Here is a 15,717-nt window from a genome sequence, read left to right as displayed (position 1 = left end):
TCCTCTCCACTTGCAAAAGAGGCCCATGTCCTGTGAGTACCTTAGGTTACACAGCAAGGGGTAAATTGAGGTTGCAGATGAAAGTATTGTTTGCTAATCAACTGACTTTAGGATAGAAGGTTATCTTGGGTTAGCCTGGTGTGCCCAGTGAAATCACAAGGGGCCTTCTAAGTGGAAAAGGAAGAGAGTTGAATAGCAGAGCGAGCAACGAGCCACATGAGAAGGACTCAGCCCACCACTGTTGGTTTTGAAGACTAAAGAGAGCCATGAGCCAAGAAACATGGGCAGCCTGTGGAGGCTGGAAAAGACCAGGGAAAGGAGTCTCCTCTGGAGCTTCCAGAAGGAACATGGCCCTGTCAACACCTTCATTTTAGCTCAGTAAGACCCGTGTCAGACTTCTAACCTTCAGAAATGTAAGATAGTAAAGTTGTGTTGTTTTAAGCCATCAAATTTGTGCTAATTTGAAACAATCACAAAATGAAACAAATACACGGACTCATCTGCAACGCTTCTCAGTCAGTCATCCCTGCCTGTGAATCACAAATTGGGAAACAGAAAATCAGAAGTAAAAACGCGAAGTGGGGAGAGCAAAGCTGTGGGTGCCTGAGCTTCTAGCCCCAGCTGGCTATAAGTACATTAGCACCCACACACAAAATCTACACCAGGAGTCATCCCACACAAACCAACCCAAAACAAAGGACATTTGACCCAAATCACTCCTTTTACCTCTCAGGGGGAAACATAAGGGAGACAGTGGGGAGAAGCAGGTCCCAATCAGAGGCAATTTCTGCAGGTACCAATTGAGTTCCTAATCAACAAACCAATAGCACAGACCCAACAAGAGGGAGACTCTCACACGCAAGTTCCTTCCATCACAGTTACACCGAAAAGAAGAGTGAGCTCAGCTTTAAGCAGTGGAATCGCAAATATTGAAATCCACGAAGAGAGCTTTGCCATAACTCAATTTAATTCATCAACAGAGCCCAGATATTCCCAGGCTACCAACCTCAACATCCAGGTCCTCAATAGCATTCTCTCAAGGTACTACAATAACCTCCCATACTATCTACCCTTGTATTTGCTTCCTAAACACCTCTGACAGATTCACCTTCTTCTGATCACAAAATATCTTATGCTCCAAACCTCCGAACATCACCCACTGCCTTTAAATTCAGATACATCTATATGCTACAGGGCTAAATGCCTACCTAGCATGGTATTCAGCATGCTTTTTATAGCTACCCCCTATTAATTCTGTGCCCTCTACCTGGAACATTTTCCTCCAGCCCCAACATTGCCATCAGTATCCACAGCAAATGGTACCCCCTTTCATGAAGGCTTTAGATGGTTTCTCTCCCAGCTCTAAACCCATCCCACCCTCACCTTTTGAATTCATATGGTACTTTGTTCCTTATCTATAACAAAATATTGTATATATACACGCCTATATGATCTCTCCCTTTTTTGTTTTGTTTTCTTGTTTGTTTTAGACAGGGAAAGACTGTAATGTGAGTTGAGTGAGTTTGTATCTCTGCCCATCTGCAGGTTTGCTACTGCACAAATTCCTACCAACTGAGTTGGGACCTAGACGCTGTCTTGAGAGGGAAGATGTAAGGCCCAGGTGGAAAATAAACAAATAGTAATAATGCTACAAAGAAACAGGTCCGACCAGGCCAAGTCAGTCCTCAACCATCTTACACCTCACCAGTTCTGGAAAACCAAGCTCTCTGTGCGTCAATTTCAAAATGATTTTAAAGTTGTGTTAGGTCGCTATACCAATGGACATATGTATAGAAATATTTCAGTGCTTCTCGAAGTGAGAAAATTAAAGATGGACAGACTCTTTCCTAACATCTGACTCAAAAGCCTAGAAAACACATAGAAAAGAAGCAAATAATACAGTTCTGTAAGATACTGTGTTTTGTGTGCCATGGTTTCTCTATTTTTAGATTTAAATACTATTGTGTGTCCATCAATTATTATGTATAACCATTAAAAAATCTTTTAAAAACATAAAATTAAAAGTGCTATGTACTGAGAAACTTATTCAAAATCATATTTCAAATAGCAAACCATACCCAAAAAATTAAAAATATTTTTTTAAAAAATAGCAAACCCACATAATACAAAACCTAAGAGAAACTGAGCACTTAACAAAATAAGCATAAATATAACACATTACTTAGCATAAAAACTCATTCTAAATGACCTGGCACACAGTAGGTCCTCAATACACCTTTGTTTTAAAGTCCTGACTCAGTGCAAACTCATCAGCCTCATAGGTCAGATGTTGTAAGGACCCAAGATATTGCATCGCGTGGAAATCAACTTTCACATCACATAACAAGTGGCATGTCATTTTTTTCCTTCTCTACCGTATTTCTAAAACTATTCAGGTGTTGATGCAGACCTTTTTCCATGTCTTGGCAAAGTGTAATTTGAACAGGCAGTTTCTCATGACCTTCAAGTCTGTGTTCAACAATGAAATCATTTGGCTTTATATCCCATCCAGTTATTAATCACAAACAACAAAAGAAGAACTTTCACACAGAAAATGTGAAACCTATGCTGGCCAGCACTCACTCTGGGTCACTCCAGGTCACATTCACTTGTAGCTAAGTTCACTGAAGACCATGCAATGACCTCAGCTATTTAGAAAATACATTCAAAATTTTTCTGGAGAGGAAAAATACAGCTATGTGACTTTAAGACAAGTGCTCCTGGAGGTCAGCAGTCTGAAAAGGGTACAATGAACAACATGGCTGGGTCCTGGGCAGATGGGGGGTGGTGTGCACAGGTCACTGGGTGCCACCGGATGGGCGGGCACATCACCTATCCTCCCTCAGTTGGCTCCTTCACTAAGTGCCTGAGCAGGAAATTTCTACCCTGGCATGGAATGCCCACACCAGGATCTCAGCATTCCCACCCCACCCATGTAGGAAGGAATCCAGCTATTCTAGCAGGATTTAACTTTATATAAATCAGCTCCAATGAGTTGATATGTTTAATAACAAAGCAAACATTCACAACTCTATTTTACTCCTTTTTTTGTTGTTGTTGCCATTATTATGATTACTATGATGAATTTGGCTTTGATTTTTATTCTTTTAAGTAAGAAAGTGGCAGCAAAAAGGAAAAAAAAATTCCAGGAATTGACTTGTGTCTCTCTAATGAAACAGGCAGTTCTGGCTGGGTGAGGTGTCTCACATCTGTAATCTCAGCACTTTTAGGAGACCAAAGTAGGAGGATCACTTAAGCCCAGGAGTTCAAGACCAGCCTGGGCAACATAGCGAGACCCCATCTCTACAAAAAAAAAAAAAAGAAAGAAAGAAAGAAAATTAGCCAGGTGTGGTTTCAGACACCTGTGGTCCCAGCTACTTGGGAAACTGAGGAGGGAGGATCACTTGAACCCAGAAGGTTGAGGCTGCATGAGCCATGGTCATGCCATTGCACTCCAGCCTGGGTAACAGAGTGAGACACTGTCTCTAAAAAAGATAAATAAATAAATAATTTTTTTTTAAAGAACAAGGGACTTATTTCCTTATCAGCCCCGCAATGCCCCTTTTAGCATCCAGAAATAGATCCACCTGGTCTTCCCTGGAAGATTCTGGACTTCCCTGGAAGACTCCTGGATGGTTTTAACTCAAACATAGCCCTCTGGATTAAGCTCACAATTGAAACTAATATTTCCCTGCCTGCCAAGCTAAAATTTTTCCCTGGAGCATTAATAATTAGCTCAAAATCAAGGACAAAATTAGTAGAGCAACACATAAGGTGTTTCTCCCCCTTCCTAACATCAGCCAGTCTTTTTAGCCACAAACTACAAGCTAGTCTTTCTGAAATCCAGCAAGCCCCTGAGTCAAACTATGGTGTAAAGAAAGTGGGTGGAAAGTCACATTAGTCAGGGACATTAAGTGCCATCTGCCATGGCTTTAATCCCATAGTACAATCTGAAGACTCTTTCTTAGGACACCCTGGGAAGCAGCATAACAAGAATATTTACTGTCCTGTCTCTTGAATCGGTGAAGTTAAATTCATTACTTTTTATACAGAAAGGTCTTCAAAATATTTCTGTTCTCCTGGTCTGATCTTTCCTCTTCTTTCATCAATCAAAGTCAAAAGAAAAGTTGGCTAATAATATCTTAGTTTGGTCCTTCCCCCAAGAAGCAGACCCTGAGACAAGGATTCAAATATAAGTAGTTTATTTCAGAAGTGATCCCAGGAAACACTGCTAGGGAGTAGAGAAAGGAGACAAAGAAGGAAAGGTGGCCAATAATAAAAAGGTCATTATCAAGCAAGTTACCATTCGATCACAACCCAACTGGGAACTTGGAGATGCAGTGTAAAATGTTCATCTCAAAAGTAGGCGACCTGAGATGCAAGAGAGCTGGAGAATTTATACTACAGCAGCAGTCACTGGCTATGGGTTGCTGGGCGCTGACACTTCCTGCCAGCCCTGAGTGTGAACTTTCCAGCCAGAGAATGCCCTCAGGCAAAGGCATGCCGGTGTGGGCAGCTGGAAGTCCCAGTGCACCAGAAGTACTGACAGCAGGGAGTGGGGTCAATAGCAGCCTCTGCTACAGCTAGGATTGGGGTTATCTCCAAAAGGGTACTTAAACCAGGTCTGGTGCAGTGGCTCAAGCCTGTAATCCCAGCACCTTGAGAGGCTAAGGTGGATGGATCACTTGAGGTCAGGAGTTTGAGACCAGCCTGGCCAACATGGTGAAACCCCGTTTCTACTAAAAATATAAAAATTCGCCAGGCATGGTGGCAGGCACCTGTAATCCCAGCTACTCGGGAGGCTGAGGCAGGAGAATCCCTTGAACCCGTGAGGTGAAGGTTGCATTGAGCCAAGATCATGCCACTGCACTCCAGCCTGGGTGACCAAGTGAGACACAAAGAAAGGAAGAAAGGAAGAAGGAAAGAAAAGAAAGGAAAGAGAGAAAAGAGAGGAAAGGAAAAAAGAAGGAAGGAAGGAAGGGGGGAGGGGAGGGGAGGGGAGGGAAGGGAAGGGAAGGGAAGGGAAGGGAAGGGAAGGGAAGGGAAGGGAAGGGAAGGGAAAAAAGAAAAGAAAAGAGAAATAAAAGGGTACTGAAACCAGAGGCAATCATTTCTGTTACAGGACATATATCACTGAATACAAAGTTGAATTCTTTTCCACAAAATTATCCTTATATTCAAATTTTGGAAGGTTTCATATTATGCAGCAACACTGGGAAAAACACAATAATCCAAAAGGATCTCAATCAATGTTCTACTCAGAGGCTGTTAAACATCAAGCGATGAAATGTAATACAGGCTTAGCTACTGAGGGATGAATTTCAACTTTAACTGTTGAATGGCAGAGTAACTAAAAAAGAAAAAAAAAAAAAACGATGCGTAGACAAAGGTTTTTACCAGAATCTTCAAATGTGGCAATGCAAATAAAAAAAATATAATAGATGCTCATCATGGCTAGTAATTACAGAAATTGAAGACAAAACAGTATTTTGGGTACTCACAATTCAATACTGGCTGGGCCTCAGAGATACTGGCATATTTGTATAAACTGATGACGTTAAACGTGTTACAGTCCTCTGAAGGGCGTATCAGAAACCCTAAAACTAACCTCTCATCCCATAAATTCTATTTCTGGGAATTTATCAGAAATGAATACCTGAAATGAAGGATGGTGCCAACAACAATAATAATAGTAGCAAGTATTTACACTGCACTCATCAGATCAGTGCCAGGCTGTTCTACTGACTTATATCAGGGGTTCTCAGCTGGGAGTGGTTTTGCCCCTGCAAGACACCTGGCAATGTCTGGAGACATTTTTGTTTGTCACCACTGGGGAAAAGCGGCCAGGTATGCTGTCCAGCATCCCCAAAGCACAGGACAGCTTCCACAGCAAAATGGAACTGTCTCACGGTGGACAAACCTGCCTTATATCTATCCCCTCATATAATCCTTACAACAGCCCTGGAGTACTTGTATTATCTCCATTTTACAGATCAATAAAGATAATTTTCGCTGTACTATTATCCATAATGTTGAAACTAGAAGTAAACTAAAAACAAAAACAGGAAAACCATTAAATAAATGATGGTATAACTACCTAACAGAAAAAAATGGAAAATGCTTATGAAGTAATGTCAAACGAAAACACCAGAACTAAAATTAGAAATATTACATAATTCCAATTATTTTTAAGTATGAGTATAAAGACTAGATGGGAAAATAACAAATGAAAGTTACTGTTGTATTAATATGGTAGAAATAGAAATGGATGCTTCTTTCTTTTCTAATTTTTAAAATGTTATTGCAATTTTTAAAAGAAAAAGCACTCAACAATGAAGATAAGAATACTGGAATCTTCTTCTGAGGAGACTGAAGTGGGAGGATCACTTGAGCCCAGGAGTTCAAGGCCTTCCTGGGTAACATAGTGAGACCCCCATCTCAAAAAACTAAAGAAAGAAAGAATACTGGAATGTTTTTTAAACAACACAAGAGTTAATAGAATATGAAGAAGATGGTTAATATTAAGAAATTAGGAATAAAAATTTCCATGGGACCCCACCAAATGTTGGTGCTTTAAATTCTGAAGCCATAACTGTTTCACGTAAGGCTAAAAAATCTAAATGTTGTATCTACCTCCTTCTGTATTTTACTTATTTCATGGCTCACTATCACCTATAGCAAATAGGCAAAAAGAATCAAATTTCAATTCAGCTAAACCTGATTCATTTTAGCAGCTCCATTATACAAAGTGTGTGTGTATGTATGTGTGTGTGTATACACACTGTTATGGTATTTCAACTGTTAAGATAATTTAGACTGTCACATAGTTTTAATATATATGGTAATTTAAACTGTTATTCTAAATTTATCAAAAGTAGCAGTCATATTAGGAGTAGTAACATTATTGCTGTTACTATGAGCAACATTTACTGAACGTTTCTTAAATGGACTACCATATAGTCTAATACCCACAATATCCATATAAGATAGATGCTTCTATTGTCCACATTTTTCAGCAAAGAGCACAGACATTTAAAGTTAAGCAGTTTGCCCAGGTAAAAGTAGCTGAATCCAAATTCAGGCAGTCTGGCTCCAAAGCTCAAGTGCTTGAATCAAACTAGTGTATAAGAATGGTTGGGGACAAGATGGCGGGGAGGGAGCCACAGGCTCCTACCCTTCCTCTCCCTACAGCAAGGAATTGACTATCTCTGTTCTACCAGATGTAAAACCTGGCTTTTGATATAAGTTTACTAAGTTGAGTAGACTTCACAATAATTTTACCAGCAGCATCTTATTTGAAATAAAAATAACAATTATTATTACCAACCAATATCAGCAAATAAATGTTTCCCAAAAACACCTACGTGGATTCAAAGGAGGAAAAAAAATAAGGCTGTCAGAGTTTCTGCAGGAAGTACTAAGATCAGTGATTCTAAAGTGGGGGGATTTTTATCTGATCCTCATATCCCACTGACTATTCCGTTCTTGTAGACTTGAGGATGAAAAAACAAAATCTTCATCCTGTTAATAGGAAAATGGATACCATAGAATCAGTAACAGAAGGAGTGTTTACACAATGTAAGCATCTGTTTCTAGAACACCGAAGAGGAAAGGATAGGAAGACTACAAATAAAACACTATTTGTGGATATTAAATTGTTGGGCTTCAATGTCTCTAAGTCTAGTCTCACCTGCCCAGAGCATATATTATGAAATGAAGTCACTGAAAACAAAATGCTGTGATCTTCTGAGATTCCTGAAGCACAGCTTAACTTAACAAATAACAGGGATCAGAATACTAATAACATATCATCGTGCGGAAATGAGGGGAATTTGGTATGAGCCAAAGTACAGGCTCCTACCCTTGCTGAGCCACTATCAACTAAAAGCAGGCTATGGGTGGGTGTGAGGAAGTCTGGAAGAACAAGTGGTCTACAAATTCCACACCCATGTGCTCCAACAGTCTCAAACCTTTCTCGAGGCTGCAGTGTCAGGAACATGGCAGGTGAGGGCAAGTAAAAAAGGCTGAAAATCTCCCTCAAAAATAGAACTTACATTTCTTCCTACAACAGGCTATGGGTCTCCAACAAATTCTGAGTAAATCTTACAAAAAAATGTAACTTTATTTTTTATGCATGTGGTGATTTAACTATAAAGAAATCCTAATATGTCTTGATAAACAGTATGTGTGTGTGTATATATACACACACATATGTATATATACACACACATACACACACACACATATATTTATTTATTTATTCATATTTTAGACGGAGTCTTGCTCTGTCGCCCAAGACAGAATGCAGTGGTGCAATCTCAGCTCACTGCAGCCTCCGCCTCTGCCTCCACCTCCCAGATTCAAGTGATTCTCCTGCCTCAGCCTCCCAAGTAGCTGGGATTACAGGCATTCGCCACCACACCCAACTAATTTTTGTAATTTTAGTACAAATGGGGTTTCACCATGTTAGCCAGGCTAGTCTCGAACTCCTGACCTCAAGTGATCCACCCACCTAAACGTCCCAAAGTGCTGGGGCTAAGCAGTGTATGTTTAAAAGTTATCAGAAATAACAAATGAAAGATACCAACAACAATAATAATAGTGAATATTTAGAAAGCAGTTACTAGAGCAGTGCCAGCCTGTTCTAACTGCTTTATATCAGGAGTTCTCAACCAGAAGTGATTTTGCCACCTACGAGACATCTGGCAATATCTGGAGACATTTTTAGGACATTTTAGACATTAATAGAAATGTGTCAGTTAATAGGACTGACACATTCACCAGCCAGCATCCCTTCTGATTACTTGAACAGCAGTCTGGGTGGTTGAGGCCTATGCCAACCTGTTAAATATTTTGAATAGCACCTCTGCCTGAATATACCATAAATAATTAAAACAAATATCATATCTAACAAAACCTGAGATGTCGATAAGTAATGATTGTCATTCATATGGAGTACTACAGATAGATTAAATGAATGTTAGCCTTTGAAAGTAACCTTCCCCCTTTTGAGGTTCCAGAAGGCTAATGACAACTGAAAAACCTGTTTCAGAATCATTCTCACAAGAATTGGTCTACTTGCTTTGTGGATATATTCCCAACTATGACTACATATAAGAATTCAAAAGTTTTAATTCTTAAAATCAAAGAATTCAAATTTTAAAATATTTCTAATTCAAAATTTGGTATGTTCTAAATATTATTTCATCTATAAATTTATAAATCTTCAACAATAACTCTTAAAGCCTTTAATAATAACAATCCTGATATCAGTTCACTAAGTGTGATCAACGTAACATAGTAATGTAAGATGTTAACAGTGGGGAAAACTGGGTAACAAGATGTTAACAGTGGGGAAAACTGGGTAACAGTGGCAAAAAGTGGTAACTGGGGAACTTTACATACCATCTTTGCAACTTTTCTATAAATGTAAAATTATTCTAAAATAAAAGGCTTATTTCAAAACGGCAAAAATATAAATAATAAAGATACAGTTTATTTTCTTGGGCAAGAAAATAAAAAAGCTATTTTTGTATATCCATATTAAATTTTAGGTTTCACATAATGTTGATTTACAAAACAATAAGAAAAAATGGGCCAGGCATGGTGGCTAACGCCTATAGTCCCAGCACTTTGGGAAGCAGAGGCAGGTATATCACTTGAGCCCAGGAGTTCAAGACCAACCTGAGAAGCATAGGGAGTCCCCATCTCTACCAAAAATACAAAAACTAGTGGGACATGGTGGTGCATGCCTTTAGTCCCTGCTACTCTGGAGGCTGAGGTAGGAGGATCCCTTGAGCCCAGGTTGCAGTGAGCCGAGATTGGACCACTACACTCCAGCCAAGGTGACAGAGACTCTGTCTCAAAAAAAAGAAAGAAATGAAAAATGTTCGAAAATCCTTCAAGCGGCTTTTGATCACATTGCTGGATTTGGATTCCATAGGCATACCTGCTTTCCACACATTTTTTAACAGGAATTATATCTCATTCACCGAACAACAACAAAAAAATTACCAGAATTCTACCTCATTCACTGAACTACAACAAAAAATCTGAGCAACTAAAAAACGTGCCAGGAGCTAGGGAAGGTTTAAAGATTCAAAGACAAGAACAGGACTTTCTTCAGGCTCATGGTCTAAAGGAGAGGTTCTCAAACATACACAATGACCACCTGAAGAGATTATTAAAAGATAAGTTCCACCTATCTTTCAACACCGTGCAGAGATAGACCTCGTTTTCAAAAACACTGATGGGTAACATCCATCATGAATGTTGTGACAGATGAAGACATCTTAGAATCTCTGAATTTAATCCAAGCAGGGAAGGAGAAAGCAGAGAAGAGGGGCACCCAACCCACACTTGGAAGTCAGCAGAGAATTCCTAGAGAAGGTGTCCTTGACCGACCATAGGAGTGAATGGCTGATGATCTAAGGGCAGCATGAACCATGAGGACAGGCCCGGCATCCAGCAGAGAACTGCTCAATACCAAGAACATTTACCCTGCTTCTGAAAGTCACTGGACACTGGCTCCAAAGTACCAATTAGAGCACTGGAAACTGCCTAACTCGGGCCACTACCCAGCCAGAGAAAGGGGCTTTGTTTTAATCCAGTTGGGTCCAACAAAATATGAAAACAGGATTCTAGAACGTGGTTGGATGCTGCAGCACAGAAAACCAGACTACCTGCCTTAACTTGCATTGTCCTTTCGGTGGAAGAACTTTTTCACTTGCTAATTATTTCTCCAATGTTAGTCTACTTGAGTAGCAAAATACAGCTTCCTACTGACGCAGGGGGCAGAGCTTTGAGACTTTTTTGTTCTGCCCTTTATTTTTTCATCTCCTCTGCAATCAGCCTGTCAACAAGCATATCGTTATTGTCAGGGTGTCAGTTTATAGCAGCATTCACACCCACTGCCTTTCTCATTTACTGCTTTAGATCTAGAAACCGATACCCAAGTGTGAAAACAGTTGCAAAATGAGAATCTAAGGCTCTTCACTGATGTGCCTGCACTGCACAGGTGAGGACACAAGTGTCCATCATCATCTCTGCAAGGCATATGCAGTGGTTCTAGGCTGCCAGTAAGTAGAATCCTTAAGTTTAAAACCAACTTTAAAACATCCCAGCACCTTCACAACAACGACCGCAGCACCCAGCAAACCACAGTTGCTCAATAAATGTTCACTGAGTCATTTATTTTTGGCTCCTTGGTTTTTTTGTTTTTGTTTTTGTGTGTGTTTGTTTGTTTGTTTTAGACAGTCTCGCTCTGTTGCCCAGGCTGGAGTTTAATGGCAGTATCTCAGCTCATTGCAACCTCCGACTCCCAGGTTCAAGCGATTCTCGTCCCTCAGCCTCCCAAGTAGTTGAGATTACAGGCACTCACCACCACACCCAGCTAATTTTTGTATTTTTAGTAGAGACAGGGTTTTGCCATGTTGGCCAGGCTGGTTACTGTTTTCTTATTTCTAATTCCTAGTCATGTGTGGCATAGTTGAAGCTGACAGAAACATGAGCACTGCAGTAATTAGGAAACATAAATAGCCAGGCACAGTGGCTCACGCCTGTTATCCCAGCACTTTGGGAGGCCAAGGCAGAAGGATTACTTGGGCCCAGAAGTTCAAGACCCTAACCTGGGAATAGTGAGACCTTGTTTCTATTTAAAAAAAAAAAAAAAAATCAGAAGGGCCGGGCACGTTGGTTCACGCCTAAAATCCCAGCACTTTGGGAGGCAGAGGCAGGTGGACCACAAGGTCAGGAGATCAAGACGTTCCTGGCTAACACGGTGAAACCCCATCTCTACTAAAAATACAAAAAATTAGCCAGGCATGGTAGCATGCGCCTGTAGTCCCAGCTACTCGGGAGGCTGAGGTAAGGGAATCGCTTGAACCTGGGAAGGGGAGGTTGCAGTGAGCTGAGATCGCACCACTGCACTCCAGCCTGGGCAACAGAGCGAGACTCTTACCCAAATAAAAAAAAAATCCGAAAAATGAGCTGAGCGTGGTGGCACATGCCTGTAATCCCAGCTACTCAGGAGGCTGAGGTGGGAGGACTGCTTGACCCCCGGAGATCGAGGCTACAGTGAACCTAGCTCATGCCATTACACTCTAGCTTGGTTGACAGAGCAAGACCCTGTCTCAAAGAAAAAAAGAAAAAGAAGAAGAAGAAACATAAATAGATGAGAAAATTTAGAAAACTACTGGAAAATCAATGCTGACAGTCTTCCTAACACAAACCCAATATGATAAAAATGATTCATTATAAAACACCAGGCAAATATTATTTACTGAATAACTTCCCAAATTATGGGAAATAAATGTCAATACTTTATTTCAGTAATCAAGACATAGATTTACCTTGAACGACCTTTTATTTTTATTTAGATTTGATTACTCAGAAATGTTGCAGCGTAAGGCCTAGTAACAAATTCAGCAAATATACAGAATGCAATCTCAAGGACTTTTTAAAAGAATAGTGCACACTTCACTTAGTCACCAAATAAATTTTCATCATAAAACATAAGATTCTCCTTGCAACAGCAGGAGAAATGCATAGGAGGGAGGCAGACAGATATGACATGTCCCGTGGGACATGAAAAGGGAAATGAGAACTATTGCCTCAACCAACTTGCAAAATGTCCATAACCTCCCTCTTTAAATACCATCACTATGAAATTTTTAATGCATATAAGCAAAGTGAGAATTTAATAATTATTTTAAAGAATTCACATGGGCAAAGGTAAAATATAATAATTCATTTCAAGGTGTTTATTTCTCCTCTATCCCCAAAAGTCCCTTAAACCACATTCGTACACACACAAAAAAGATTCTACTTTTCCTGCTATAACACTCGTTACTCAGAGTTAGATAATAAATACTGATTAACAATCAGTGGGTCTCAGAGTATTGGCAGATGCTAGATTGCATGGGTGGGTTAGAGTTACCTCAGTAGAAAGTGAATTTGCTAGGGGAATAAATTTCTTCTGTCAAACACAGTCTAGGAGCTACTAACACCAGAAAGAGAGTAATGGCCAATGAGTCCAAGGAGAAGCTAAAGGCACAGAATCCAGAAGTCAACAAGAAAATAGGCCAGGGCAGAAGCCAAGTGACTAACTCTGGCAGCAGGTTCCCAGCAAGAGACTGGCTGAGCCAGGAGAAAAGTAGCAGTGTCGGTGTGATAGGAGTTGCTTCTCAGAGTGCCAAGTGGATCGCTATCTGATGAGGTATTTCTACTGGCGATATGTGCAAGTGACCTGGAAGAATCTGTGCAAGGTGCCTATCTTACAAGTGCCACACAGCCCAGCCTTTCAGAGTATTTGGATCAGCGGCATTCAACTGAAATCTATCACGTTTCCAGACTACTATGACAGTTCACCTCTATTTGGAGAAATAACCTCTCTGCAGACTAAATAAAGCTTTTTATATAAGGCATCAAAGGCAAAGAGCACAGAATCATAGGGGAGGCGGCTGCGTGCCCTTTTCCTTTGCTTGCCTGCTTGCTTGCAAGCAATGAAAACCTTTCTGAACAAATGATAGCAAACTTTGAAAACAGCAAAACATCTGGGGCATCTTGCCACAAAGATATCCTCCACACAACTGCAGGCCATTTGCTGTCCTGTATAGCTCTCTATTTCCTGCCATTTACTGGATCTGTGGTTAAATGAACCCAACATAGAATTACAGCTTCAATGCTTTGATGTGAAAAATCACTAACGAATCTAAATTGAAGGACGAGGACACACTGGTAAATTTTCAATATGATGGTGCATACGGGGCCTCATTTAAACTAATGTCTTATCTTCACTTAGCATCTAAATGTATTTTTTCCTGTACTGACTTGAAATACTCTAACACAAACAGACACCATTTATTATAATCCTTCTTGCAATCTGTCAAGTTATGTTCAAAAAATTTTACAAAGATGTACCTTTAAAGACTGACAACAGCCCCAAAACAGGAGGCAGAATAGTTAGGGCTTAATTTTAAGCCTAACTCCACAGCATCTTTCTGCTAACTCCATGTTCCATAAAATATATAAAAAATGGTTTTTTTCATAAATAAATCTGGGACTTACCATCCATATGGAAATAATTTATCAGTATACGAAAATGTAATAAAATAGTGTATCTAAATAACTACTAGTCTCAGCACAGTTTGGGATGATGACGTCTTCCATATCAGCCAAAAAAAGAAAGAAAATACTATAGAATCTAAGTCCAAAGACTCAAACCTCTGTCCTAGATATCTGAAAATAATATCTATCTTTTAAGGTAGCAGTTAACCATTTTAGAACTCAAAAGAAATTCAAATAAGTCCTCCCAAATCTGCCATTTTGTAGGAATTTCCCTTGGAATCATTAAGAGTATAAAAGTCAGGGATCCAAGCAACAAAAGAAAATGAGCAATGCATGAAAAGCCAAATCACTGACGAATTTGTCCAAAGAGCCAATAAACATATGCAGAGAAGTTCAGTTCCACAAAAAAAGAAATGCAAGTTCAAACAACTATAGACTACATTTCATCTCTCTACATGTCATCTGTTGTAGATGACGATTTAACAGTAAAAGCATATTTGCCCCAGCAATTGCCCAAGTAAGCGAAGATACATGTACACAGGTAGTTTTTAATAATGTTTTAAGTGGGATGCCACTAAATCAGGATGGTTTCAATTTTGGTTCAAAAAAGAAAAGCCATGCTCACCCATAGAGGCATACATTTTTACATTCATAGAAAACAAGGGTAGCAGAAGAAACGAAACTATTAACAATGGTTTTGGAGAGAGGAAGGAAATGACAGTTTTCTACTTTGTAGAATTTTCATTTTGCATTACATTTTTTTTTTTTTTAGAAAACAGTCTGATTACTTAAGATATTTTAAAGGACATTTGAACTATATTACTAAAAATTAAATTTGGAGTCAAAAACGTATTTAAATGCTCCTTTTCCTTGAGAGCAACTCCACACAGAGGGCCACAGGAATTCCTGCCCAGCTCACAATCTAAGTTTCAATACTCTGCAGCTCAGACAGAAAGTTTGGCCTGTGTTCCTTTAGTCCTAGACTAAAATTTCACTTTAGCACAATGGTAGAACCTGGCTATGAGTCATCTTCCTCTGCAAAACAATGAAAGGTCTAGTTCAGTGGGAAAAAACGACTTCAGTTGCCAGTTCATTGAACTGTTCAAATTAAGGTCAAAATACTGGAGCAGGAGCGAGGGAGTCGCTGTGTCCAGATCCTATCTAACCCCACACCAGTCCCCTGAATGGCCCTCCAACCAAGTCTTGAATTTGCAAACGGTTAGAATAGGAAGCACCTGGTGCCCTCTAAGTAGGGGTCAGAGAACGCAAGTGAAAACATGAAACAGATCCAAATCCAGTTTCATGAGCATGCCTTTCAAGTAATGCCAAGGAAAAATATATCAAAAACATGATGGAGTGCACAGCTTCAGCTTAAATATATTTCAAGTACCATGATGAATATAATGTTTGATTTCCTACCCTAGACTCTACCTAAAAGAGCCCATTATCAACAGACTAGGTTTTTATAATTTTTACAGAATTTATTATTCCATTTATTTACCTGGAACTATTACTATAGCTTGCAAAGAACTTTAAAATGTGTAACATCATGAATCCTGACCACACTCTCCCGGGGCATCCTCCCTGGTTGGGAGATCCTGTGATCCTCCTGGTTGGGAGTCCCCTTCTCAGAGGTTCAGTGACTTACCC

General features: G+C 39.8%; 1 protein-coding gene across 1 annotated transcript in view, besides 1 other annotated feature; it reads right to left on the bottom strand.

Annotated features, from left to right (window-relative positions):
- Positions 1–15,717, bottom strand: part of UTRN (utrophin) — a 567,700-nt gene that overhangs the window by 487,941 nt on the left and 64,042 nt on the right. The gene's annotated exons all lie outside the window — the stretch shown is intronic.
- Positions 10,657–10,746: an enhancer, noted in NCBI's record as "active region_25220". NCBI's record gives its function as "activates an Ori minimal core promoter by ATAC-STARR-seq in GM12878 lymphoblastoid cells {active_cell/tissue: GM12878}" and the evidence as "EXISTENCE:reporter gene assay evidence [ECO:0000049][PMID:35858748]".

The sequence above is a fragment of the Homo sapiens genome, chromosome 6 (assembly GCF_000001405.40).
Source record: "Homo sapiens chromosome 6, GRCh38.p14 Primary Assembly".
In the NCBI taxonomy this organism is placed as follows: Eukaryota; Metazoa; Chordata; class Mammalia; order Primates; family Hominidae; genus Homo; species Homo sapiens.
This window is presented reverse-complemented; position numbering and strand designations above follow the sequence as displayed.